Source organism: Homo sapiens, chromosome 12 (assembly GCF_000001405.40).
Source record: "Homo sapiens chromosome 12, GRCh38.p14 Primary Assembly".
In the NCBI taxonomy this organism is placed as follows: domain Eukaryota; kingdom Metazoa; phylum Chordata; class Mammalia; order Primates; family Hominidae; genus Homo; species Homo sapiens.
In genome coordinates this window covers 2,773,139-2,785,606 of record NC_000012.12, presented here as the reverse complement: position 1 = coordinate 2,785,606, position 12,468 = coordinate 2,773,139, and the positions used below count along the sequence as shown (strand labels likewise).

General features: G+C 47.5%; 1 long non-coding RNA gene and 1 pseudogene across 1 annotated transcript in view, besides 1 other annotated feature; one reads left to right on the top strand and one right to left on the bottom strand.

Annotated features, from left to right (window-relative positions):
• ITFG2-AS1 (ITFG2 antisense RNA 1) overlaps positions 1 to 12,468 on the top strand; it is a 70,299-nt gene that overhangs the window by 27,318 nt on the left and 30,513 nt on the right. The gene's annotated exons all lie outside the window — the stretch shown is intronic.
• Positions 1,679 to 2,180: an enhancer, noted in NCBI's record as "H3K4me1 hESC enhancer chr12:2892593-2893094 (GRCh37/hg19 assembly coordinates)". NCBI's record gives its function as "activates a minimal SCP1, AML or CMV promoter by ChIP-STARR-seq in naive H9 embryonic stem cells {active_cell/tissue: H9 hESC(naive)}" and the evidence as "EXISTENCE:reporter gene assay evidence [ECO:0000049][PMID:30033119]".
• On the bottom strand, positions 3,187 to 3,713 carry RPL23AP14 (ribosomal protein L23a pseudogene 14; annotated as a pseudogene).

Genomic DNA, 12,468 nt, shown 5'->3' with positions numbered 1-12,468 from the left:
AATGTGTGAACAACCTTTGGTAATCTCAACTATTGACCTGTATGTTTCTTCTTTACCCCAATGTAGAGATTCAGTCAGGCTGGTGGGAAAAATATTAGGGATTGTTATAGAGATAGACAGAAATCTTCTTGGAAGGCCGAGAAGTTTGCATAATTTTGGTAATAGATCTGGCTAAAGGCAGCCTGGTCCCTTTACCTTTAGTTAAATAGATTAAAGTAGTAACAAAAGAATGTGGGGAAGTTATCTAGCTAGCTTGTTTACTCATATGGTCTTAAGATTAACCTTTGATGTACGGTGGGTGCTTAAGTGCTTTCTACTTGGGAAGTCCACAATGTCAATTACCCTCTAGTGGTATTGACTCAAGTCTTTTGTCAATAAATCTTTACCAATAAATGTGAGTCTCACTAGCTGGTCAGGGCTGAGTCGCAACTGTTTACAGGACTCTGCTGGAGTCTGTAAGCGGCTCGGAGACACTCAGCTGGACTGGCAAAGCAGAATATCTGAGTGTCAGTGTACTTCATTCATCTGTCACTGGGTCAGAGGTCTGCAAAGGACAGACCCCCTGCAGCTGGTGTCCCCGTGTGAGGAGTGCTACCACACCCCGACTCATTCCTTACATGTAGACTATTTTCTTTACTGGTTCAGCAAAAGCCAGGAAAAACAACTCTGTAGCAAGCAGAATGTTATTCGACTATATATTGTTTAATTTATTGTAAATACTGGTGAACAGTGGTCAATAAATAGTTTTATATTCCTTCAAAAAGAAAGAAAGAGCTTGCAGGGTGTGCATAGGTTGTCTGCAAACGCTGTGCCATTCTGTATCAGGGGCTTGAGCACCTGTGATGTTAGTATCTTCAAGGGAGGGTCCTGGAGCCAGTCCCCCACGTATACTGCGGACTGACTGTATTTGGATTTTGACAGAAGGCTGAGAAACCCAGAATGTCAGAGACAACCTCCCAGCCGTAGAAAGCCGAGTTAATATCAGGAGAAGCCAGTGGTTAAATTCACAGTCTTTTTACACACAAGAGCAAAACAAATTTTACAACAATGGTGGAAAAAACTCAGTGATCGCTCACTGAAGTGAATTAAAGGTGCAGTGATAGTTACAACATGGCAACCGCATATATTGACAAGCGAGATCTCATCCAAGAGTATAGGGTTTGATGGGGGGAGCGAGAGCCTCTCTGAGGATGCATCCTCCTTTGAAAGCACTCACCTCGCCCCTGCGTCCACGAACGTGGGAAAAGTGTGGGAGATGGCAGAGTCTCAGCAACCCCTCAATCCAGTTTGTCTCTTAGACAGCATCCATATCCCCCATCCTCCATCAGCTCCTTTTCCAGCTTCCCGATCCTGCAGTTGTTTTTGTACAGCGGAGAGGGAAGTGTCTGTGCTTAGGACAATGCTTCACATTGCCAGGAGAGGGCAGCAGATCACGCTCCCGTTCCCCGCGCTACCTCGGCGCTGTCCGGGATTCCGGTCAATTTTCAAGGGTCGTTGAGTGCTCATGGGAGCCAGGCTCTGTGCCAGGCACTGGGAGCGCAAAGCCAACTGAGATACGGGGCCCTACTTTGCAGGAGGCTGTGGTCTAAGAGGGCGAGGCAGCCATGGAAACATACAGGACCAGCGGGGCGAGGCGCTGGGGCAGAAGGCTCTTCAGGGGAGTGTGGGGTTCCCAGGAGGGGTATCAGAAAACACTCAGCAGAGGCCAGTCGCAGTGGCTCACGCCTGTAATCCCAGCACTTTGGGAGGCCGAGGCCGGCGGATCACTTGAGGTAAGGAGTTCGAGATCAGTTTGGCCAACATGGTGAAACCCCGTAGCTACTAAAAATACAAAGATTAGCTGGATGTGGTGGCTGGTGCCTACAGGCTGCTCGGGAGGCTGAGGCACGAGAATCACTTGAATCCTGGAGGCAGAGGTTGCAGTGAGCTGAGATCGCGCCACTGCACTCCAGCCTGAGTGACAGAGCTAGACTCTGTCTGAAAACAATCAATCAAACAAACTATACCCCACACAGCCAGCAGGAAGAGGTGCTTGAGCTGAGTCTTGGAAGCGGGTAGGTTTTTCCGGTTCCTAGGCCAGGCAGGGCACCCCAGGCAGGGGAGTCGGGGCTGAGTGTGATGCTACAGGGTGCGCTCAGGTTTGAACACAGAGCACTGGGGGCAGGAGGAGGATCTCAGAAAGGGGGAGGATCACGGAGGGCTGTCCTCCTTGGCCATGCTAAGACCTGAGACCTCCTGGGCTCAGGCCATCCTCCTGCCTCAGCCTACGGAATAGCTGGGACTACAGGCGTGTGTCACCATGCCCAACAAATTTCTCAATTATTTGGAAAGATGGGGTCTCCCTATGTTGCCAAGGCTGGTCTCAAACTACTAGGCTCAAGTGACCCTCCTGCCTCAGCCTCCCAAAGTGCTGAGATTGATGATGTGAACCACCACACTGGTCCAGTTCAATGATTTTTAGTATATTTGGTATATTTACAGAATTGTGCAACCATCACCAAAATCTACTTCTGGAACATTCTATCATCCCAGAAAGAAACTTGTGCCCATCAGAGTTACTTTTCATTCTCATCCCCAGCCCTAGGCAACAAGTTGTCTACTTTCTGTCTCTATATTAGGCTGTTCTGGATATTTCATATAAACTGAATCAGGCAATGTGAGTTCTTTTGCATCTGGCTTCTTTCATGAAGCATTGCATTGTTGAGGTTGATCAATGTAGTAGCATGCACCAGAACTTCCTTTTGATTGCTGAACAGTATTCCATTGTATGTTCCATGTTTTAATCCCTTTGCCCGTTGATGGGCATTTGGGTTGTCTTGACCTTTTGGTTCTTGTGAATGGTGCTGCCATGAACATTCACATACAAGCCTTTGTGTGGACATACATTTTCATCTTCCCTGGGTACATACTTAGAAGTGAAGTTGCTGGGTTTAAGGCAATTCTGTTTTTAACATTTTGAGAAACTGTCATACTATCTTCCAAAAAAGTGGCTGCACCATTTTATTTGTTTATTTATTTATTTAGAGGCGGAGTTTCACTCTTGTTGCCCAGGCTGGAGTGCAATGGTGCAATCTCGGCTCAGTGCAACCTCTGCCTCCCGGATTCAAGTGATTCTCCTGCCTCAGCCTCCCAAGTGGCTGGGATTACAGGCATGTGCCACTGCACCCGGCTAATTTTGTATTTTTTTATGGTGAAAAGATATACATATATTTAGAATTAGCCAGCTGGACTCAGTTTAGATGATCCCAATTTTGTTGGCAACATCCAAAGCATCATAATCAGGAGATGGCTGAACATACGCCTTCTTCTCTCCATCAGGCCGAATCAGGGTGTTGAATTGGGCCACGTCAATGTTATAGAGCTTCTTCACAGCCTGTTTGATTTGGTGCTTGTTGGCTTTAACGTCCTTAATGAACACAAGCATGTTGTTGTTGTCTTCTATCTTCTTCATGGCCGGCTCAGTGGTCAGCAGAAACTTAATGACAGCATAGTGGTCAAGCTCATTTCTCCTGGGGGTGCTCTTCCGAGGATCTTTGGGTTGCCTCTGGAGTCGCAGTGTCTTGGGCCACTGGAAGGTTGGTGACATGTAGATCTTCTGTTTTTTGTGGCTGTGGACACCTTTCAACACTGCCTTCTTGGCCTTCAAAGCCTTGGCTTTGGCTTTAGGAGTGGCAGGAGCTTCCTTCTCTGCTTTCAGTGCCATCTTGTGAAAAAGTAATTTTGTATTTTTAGTAGAGACAGGGTTTCACCATGTTGGTCAGGCTGGTCTCAAACTCCTGACCCAGGCTGGTCTCGAACTCTTGATCCACCCACCTCGGTCTCCCAAAGTGCTGGGATTACAGGTGTGAGCCATTGCGCCCAGCCTGCACCATTTTGTATTTTCACTGGCAGTGTATGAGGATTTTGATTTCTCCACATCCTCTCCAACACTCGCTGTTATCTGCTGATTGGTTATAGTCGTTCTAGTGGGTGTGAAGTGACATCTCATTGTGGATCAATTTACATTTTCCTAGTGACTAGAGATGTTGAGCGCTTTTTAATGTGCTTATTGGACATTCATGTATGTTCTTAGGCCAGGCACAGTGGCTCACGTCAGCACTTGGGAGGCCAAGGAGAGCGGGTCGTGAAGCTAGGAGTTTGAGACCAGCCTGACCAACATGATGAAGTGTTGGGAACAGGCCCCAAAATCTGGCCATAAACTGGCCCCAGAACTGGCCATAAACAAAATCTCTGCAGCACTGTGACATATTTGTGATGGCCATGAGGCCCACGCTGGAAGGTTGTGGGTTTACTGGAATGAGATTTTATCCATTTTAATGGGTTACTAGCTGCTAATCTGTCTGCAGCTACTTCAAGCACTCCAGTTCCTGGCACTAAGGTCAGGTGTGCCTGGCATGCTTTAAATATTTGTCCTTTTAATTTTACAATTAAATTTTTTTTTGAGATGGAGTCTTGCAGTGTTGCCCAGGCTGGAGTGCAGTGGCACAATCTCGGCTCACTGCAATCTCCGCCTCCTGGGTTCACACCATTCTCCTGCCTCAGCCTCCCAAGTAGCTGGACTACAGGTGCCTGCCAACATGCCCAGCTAATTTTTTGTACTTTTAGTAGAGACGGGGTTTCACCATGTTAGCCAGGATGGTCTCAATCTCCTGACCTCGTGATCCCCCTGCCTCGGCCTCCCAATGTGTTGGGATTACAGGCGTGAGCCACCGCACCCGGCCACTCTGTTGTCTTTTTAAAATATTGAACTTATTTAAATAGAGACGGGTCTTACTATGCTGCCCAGGCTGGTCTCAAACTCCTGGGCGCAAGTGATCCTCTTGCCTCGGCCTCTCAAAGTGCTGGGATTACAGGTGTGAGCCACCATGCCCTGCCCTGCTGTCTTGTTTTGGGAGGTTCCTCCTTTCACATCATCCCCTCTATTCCTTTACATTCTGAAAATCCGTACTCACCAGGCCCTCTTCTTTGAACCTCCTCCTAACTCCTGCAGAGTTAATTATGCCCTCCTCTGTATCATTTCAGAGCATTGTATGCACCTATAATATTGCATGCATTGTCCTATAAGTATTTGTCATTTTTACTCACTCTGAGTTCAGCATTTATACTAGATTTATCTTAAATGCTCTTATAAATATCAGCATATAGAAAATATTTGTTAAAAAATATTTGTTGTACTCACTAGAATTAGGATTTATCTACAAGCCTCCTTGCTTTTACTAGATCACTTTCTAATTTGTCAGTTTAAATGCATTTTTAAGAGAACATTCTTAAAAATAACATTTTAAAAGTGACAAAGTAACATGTTTATTTCAGAATATATTAAATATTTCAGAATATATTAAAAAACCCTTAGAAGAAAAGAAAAATTATATCTAAATCTACCATCTGGATATGTTACCATTTTGATGTATGCCCTTTCAGTTTTATCTGTGCATTCATATGTTTTTGTCTATGTACACATACATATGTGTATAGATATGTGTATATATGTGGTTTACACATACATAACTGTATAATCTGGATATACCTAACTCCATTATCCATATCATTGGATATGTCTAAAACAATGTTATCTATGCTCTTTATAACCTGTCTTAATTTTTTTATATTTAATTAATATGGATACATACTAGTTGTACATATTTATAGGGTACCTGTGCTATTTTGATGCAAGCATACAATGTGTAATAATCAAATTAGAGCAATTGGGATATCCATCACCTGACACATTCATCAATTCTTTGGGTTAGGAACATTCCAATTTCACTCCGTCAGTTATTTTGAAATATATAATATTGTTAACTACAGCCACCTTATCGTGCTACCAAACACTAGATCGCAATCATTCTATCTAACTGTATTTTCCTACCCATTGTCCATCTCCCTAACCTGTCTTTTGTAGCTTAGGCCAACTCCAGCCTGACACCTGATGCTGTAAGTTTTCACTGGAATTCAGCCAGGCTGCTCATTTGCATATAGTTTGCATATTATCCAGGGCTGCCTCTGTGCGGCAAGGCAGAGTTGAGCAATTGCTACAGAGACCCCATGTATGGCTCACAAAACCTCAGTTACTTCCTCTTGGATCCTGTACCGAGAAAGTTTGCTGAGCCCTGAGTCAATCATCCCACATTGACTGGATAGCTCCCTATACAGGGCTAGGGAGAGAGGGAAGTGCAAGTCACTCTGCTTGTCTTGGAGCTGCTTTCTATCTATGGGGAGGGAAACCCTCAGAACTGTTCTTGGGCGTGGTACGTGCTGCATTACCAGCAGGGCTGCATTACCAGCTATTGGAGCCCAGAGAAGAAGGGATTAGTTCTGCCTGGAGGGATTTCAGGAAGGCTTCTCAGAAGAGGCCAGGTTTGAATTGCACCTTGAAGAATGAGGCAGACATAACAGACCATTACATAACGAGCCAGGAGATTGAATCAGTAATAAAAGGTCTCCTATCACAGACAAGCCCAGGATCTGATGGCTTCACTGCTGAATTCTACCAAACATTTCAAGAAGAACTAATAACAATCCTGCTCCAACTTTTCCCAAAATCTGGGAGAAAATTATGAGGCCAAAACCAGAGGAGGACACTACAAGAACATTACAGGCCAAGATCCATGATGAACATAGATGCAAAAATCCTCAATCTAATACTAGTAAATCGAATTCAATAGCACATTAAAAAGATCATTCACCATGATCAAGTGGGAGTTATCTCAGGGATACAAGCGTGGTTGAGTGTACACAAGTCTATAAATAGGACATGCTACAGTCATAGAATGGAGGACTAAAACCATAGGATCATCTCTGTGGATGCAAAGAAAGCATTTGACAAAATTCAACATTCTATCATAATGAAAACTCTCAACAAATTTGATATAGAAAGACTGTACCACAATGCAATAAGGCTGTATATGGCAAGCCCAAAGCTAACATCATACAGAATGGGATAAAGTTGTAAGCTTTTCCTCTAAGATATGTGTACCCCCAGGTGCACTGCAGCACTATTCACAATAGCTGAGAAATGGAATCAACCTAAGCCTACATCAGCAGATGAATGGATAAAGGAAATGGGGCATATATATAACAATGGAATATGATTTAGCCTTTAAAAAGAAGGAAATCCTGGCCGAATGCAGTAACTCACACCTGTAGTCCCAGCACTTTGGGAGGCTGAGGCAGGTGGATCACCTGAGGTTGGGAATTCGAGACCAGCCTGACCAACATGGAGAAACCCCGTCTCTACTAAAAATACAAAATTAGCCAGGCATGGTGGCGCATGCCTGTAATCCCAGCTACTTGGGAGATTGAGGCAGGAGAATTGTTTGAACCTGGGGAGGCGGAGGTTGTGGTGAGCTGAGATTGCAAGATTGCACTTCAGCCTGGGCAACAAGAGCAAAACTCCGTCTCAAAAAAAAAAAAAAAAAAAAAAGGACATTTGTGACATGAATGAATACGAAGGGCATTCATAACATTAAGCAAATAAGCCAGAAACCACACAGAAAAGCAAAACCACACAGTGTCACTTACATGTGGAAGCTGAAAAAGTTGAACTCATAGGAACAGAGAGTAGAATGGTGGTTATCAAGGGCTGGGGGTGCAGGTTGGGGAAATGTTTGTCAGAGTTAAGCAGGAGGAAGAAGTTCCAGAGATCTGCTGTATAACACGGTGATTAGAGTTAACAACACCACAGTGCAGGCAGGAAAATTGTGAAGAGAGTAGGTTTGAAGTGTTCTCACCACAAAAAATGGTAAGTGTGTGAGGCCATGCATGTTACATAACTCAGCGTGCTCATATTTGAAAAACACTACATTGTGCACCATAAATATCCAAATTATATCCAAAGTATATCCAATTTTTCTTTTTTCCTTTTTTTGAGACAGAGTCTCACTCTGTCTGCCAGGCTGGAGGGCAGTCGTGCAATCTCAGCTCACAAACAAAAACCAATTAGAGGGAACAGCATGAGCATGGAGAACCTTTTCACTGCAGGGCCAGCTGTTGGGGCCACCTTTTGGGTAGATGAGAAGGTGCTGACTCCGTGGAGTGAAATCAAGGGGCAGAGAAAAGCCCTCTGTATGCCCTGGAAATGCTCCCGTGGCCGGAGCATCCTCCCATTTCATGGATGCTTGCTGTCGCGTGGTCCTGCAGAGCCTGCGATGACTGCTGCCTGGGGACTGCGATGCAGTCATGTTTTATAAAACACACAGAAGCACTGAAGAGCCAGGTTGCGTGAACTTTGGGAAAATGGTTTATCCGGTGATTCTTGGACCCCTTTGGAGACTCAGGGCCCTTTGAGAAGCTGGTGAAAGACACATTTGCACAGGATTTTGCACACAATCCCGGAGAGTCTCAGGCCCTGTGAAACTCATCCCTAATCCCCAGGTGCAGAACTCCTCTTTATGCTGCTGCAGTTTATGCCTTAGTGAGAAAGAATGACTAACAACAAGGTTTAGCTGGGGTGATGGGGAGTGCAGATTTCTGCAGGGAATAGGGATGTGAGAAGGGGCTCTGAGGAAAGAAGAGGCACAGAGAAAGAGAGCAGTGTGACCCAGGAGACCTCCGTGTGACCTTGACACACTGGCTCAAGGCCTAGGCTGGTCAGAATGCACGTGTCCTGAGTGGCCCTGCCCCCTTTGTCAAAGGCCACTGTGCGTGGGGAGAAGTTTCTGGGGCATCTCCGTAGGACATGCCCTGTGTGTTGGATGGACAAGCAAGCTACGTTTCTCAGCAGTCACTGCAGAAGACGACGGGGAGACAAATCATGGAGCAGTCATGAATCCTGGTGCGACTTGGCCATTTCCTGGAGGGTGACCCTGAGACCCAAGGCACTCGCTAAGAACTCTCACCGCCTTAACTCAGTGATGAGCCGTCTTTCCTGCGCGCAGGTCTTTGTGCGGTGCTCTTACACCTCTGTCCTCACAGCAGTCCTGGAAGGAGCATGCACAGGAGGCAGTGTGGCCAGGCTTCCTGTGCAGACCACTGGCGTTCAAGTGGTATTTACCGGGGGTGAGGCCTGGAGCCGATCCCTCGCCTTTCCGGAGCCGCCTCCTTCTCATCCGTAAAATGGTAACAGCGCGCCCGCCTCCCAAGGGTGGGACGAGGCTCAGTCAGGAGGATGGCCATGAAAGCACAGTGTGGAGCTGCATCCGTTTTCTCTTGATGTGTCACAAATTACCAAAATATGGACTCTTCATGATTGTAGGACTGAATTCCCTGTTTTCCAGCTGGATGTCAGCCAGGGGCAACTCTCACCTCAAGGAGGCCACTCATGTTCCTTGCCCTGAGGCACCCTCCAGCTTCGGAGCCAGCAATGCTTCCTCATTGGATCCCTCTTGCCCTTGAGTCTCTCTGCCTTCCCTTCCTCTGACCTCTAGGCCCAGATGTAGAACAGCTCATGTGGTTAGGTCAAGCCCACAGGGATCATCCCCCTATATAAATGTCAACTGCAAAATCCCTTCCCATCAACACTGAGATTACTGCGTGACTGAGTAACTGACAGAAGATGTGTGTATACCAGGGCCCTGGAATTTTGGGGGTCATCTCAGAATTCTGCCTCTGTTAGGCCGATGTTATAGGATTTTTATTTGCATTTTAAAATCATATTCCATTGTTAAATATATGCCACAATTTCTTTATCCATTTGTCTGTTGATGGATGCTTAGATTGACTCCTGTTTCTTTCAGGTCACCCAACACTTGCAGTGTTGGATTCCCTTAAGGTTTTCTTGGAGTAGTGAGGTTCTTTGAAAATAAGTGCAGCGTCTTGGGTGAGGGGTCCAGTCCTGGTTGTGTTGAGTGACGGGAGAGCTGCACCCTGGTCCTGCCTCGAAGGCTCGAGAGGGCCATGTGAAATCATAAGGGCTTGGACCAACCTGGAAGACATGAGGAAGGAGTACTTCCCTTGAGGCTGTGGAAAGGGCTGGGACGACCTGTCCTGACTCTGTCCTTGTGCACACAGTGCATTTGCCAGCTGGCCGAGACTCTGGCTCTCAGTGGCTGTGGAGGTGTTAACTTGGAGTCCCAGCTGGGGAATATCACAGGGGTGCTGTTCCAGCTGGTGGGTGCGGCAGGCCGGAGGCATCCTGTCCTTGCCCTCTCTCTTCTTTGGTGGTGATGACTTCCTCAGACCAGGTCACCATCTCCAGACGGTACAGGGGTCTTTGACATGGTGACCTTTGCTGCACACATTGCAGGCTTCTCTGAAACAGGCAAATGCCTGGATTCTGGGCACAGAGTGGGACGTTTTCCATGAGGTAACTTGGATACATCCTGTGTGCTTTCTGGGGTGACAAGCCTCTGTGGCTCCCCCTGGACTCTAGGGAAAAGGCAGAAGGTTCAAGGCCCTCCTTCAGCCCGTGGGAGGTGCCAGGTCTTCTGTGTTGTGGAGTAGGCAGAGGACAATTGAACATTTTGCAAAAGGATGATGCCTTCCTTATATTTAATTGGCTGGCCTCTGTCTTGTTCCCTCTGGGGCTGGGAGTGGATTCCTGGGCTCCACTTTTCTGCTCTCCTTACAGCCTGGTGCCATGCACTGCATGGCTTCATGCCTCAGTTTCCTCCTCCACATGTAGGATCCCTGGTTTCCATCCTCCTGGGCCTGAAGGCCTTGGTCTCCCTACAGATAAGTGGCAAATACTACTCGGATTGTTACTCCATGCTGAACCATAGCTTAGCTCTGAGGGCTTTCAACATACTGAGTAAGTTCATATGTTTTCCTAGCCATGTGTGTGCGTGTGCATATGTGTGTGCACATGCATGCATGTGTGTGTGCCCACATGTGAACTCAGGACCCCTTTAGTCTCTCCCTGGGCCGGAGTTGGGGCCTAGGTTCCTATGGGAAGGTGGGGGTTCCAACCTCCGAGACAAGATTCAAAGTAATTAATGAGAACTTTGCCTGAAATTGAGTGAATCAGAAAGGGCATAGCCATGGCCCCACCCCACCCCTATTGTTCCCACTGCCTCACCTGGGGCTGACTCCCCTTTCTCCTGGCATGATCCCTATTTCAGAAAGGTGCTTATGACAGGACAGCACTGATGGGCACAGTGTGCTGCCTGTGGGCAGGTATGTGGGGCAGGAGGGGCACCTGGCACATGCTCGGCACATGGCAAATGCTGGGTGGACCTGGTTCTCTTTCTTTTTCTTTCGTCCAAGTCATGGTCAGTGGTTTGCTGTGAGCATGATTTAAGCCTGGGTATTACCTCCCGTTTAAACATACCCCTGACTGCCCTGTATTCACATCCTTCTGATAGCCAAGTTATATGGCAGGGATCAGCTGGTGATTTTGCTGGAAAACATCGTCAAACCCGAGGAGTCTGCCAAGGCAGTGACAACCCCGCAAGTCTTCAGGGATGTGTCCTGTAGAGGGAGTGGGAATGGGGCATGGTCCTGGGGTTCTAGGACTTGATCGTTCCCAGGAAATCTCCTTTCTCTGGAGACAGTCTGGTATAGTAGTTAGAAGCACGATTTTAAATGCAGTCATCTCAGTGGGTTGGGATCTTGGCTGTGCTTCTCACTAGCTATGTGGCCTAGAGCAAATGACTTTTAGTCTGTGCCTCTATTTCCTCATTTGAAAAACAGAGGTAAAAATAATTGTTACCTTTAGGGATTTTTAGTGAGGGTGGAGTGAATAAATGTGAGGTGCTGAGAACAGGGCCTGCTCTGCAGCTGGTTTTATAGTGGTTTATCTGTGATTACCGCCTGGAAGAGCAGGCTTCACCTCCAGTCAGGTATGGATGTTAAGCTTTCGCTGTGCACTAAGCACTGTGACAGGCACGGAGAATACACATACAGAAGACAGCCCCTGCCCTTAGCGAGCTCACTGTAGGGTAGGGGGCGAGGCTGTCCACATGGCGACAGTGCGGGACAACATGCACTGGGCTGCTTAGACGGGAGCGGCGATGCCGACAGGAAGGCAAGCAGGAGGAGGTCAGGGAAGCCGGGGTGGGCTTTACAGAGGGGATGGGCCAAAAGTAGAGAGGAGCCTGTGACCATGGATCAGGACAAGGAGGCCACAGGGGAGAGGAGCAGCAGCTGAGGTTGGAAAGGTTGAGATGGACAGAGGAGAGGACAGCTTGGCTGGAGAGGCGGATTTGTGTGGGCAGTCATGGAGACCAGCGAGGGTTGGGGCTCAAATGCCCTCCTGTGGAAAGTACTGGCCAGGCTGGTGGGTTTCAGTGTGGTTGGAGGCACAGGGATGGCTGAGATGCCTGTGGAGACTCCACCTGGCCTTTGACGGCCGGGACTGTACCTGGTGTTCCTCCCGCCCGGCTGTCATCTGATGTCTCCCCAAGCAGCAGAGGCGGGGTGGAGGCTGACCTCCAGCTGCACGCCTGTGTTTTCTCTAGTGCCCCAGAGGGAGACCTTGAAGAAGGAGGTGATGAGTTCAGTGGTTCTGCTGATACAGAAAGATCTGAGACCTGTGAGCATAGAGGCCGTGTGTCTGTGCTGGGAGGGCAATTGCTTTCTTGAGACCCTGGT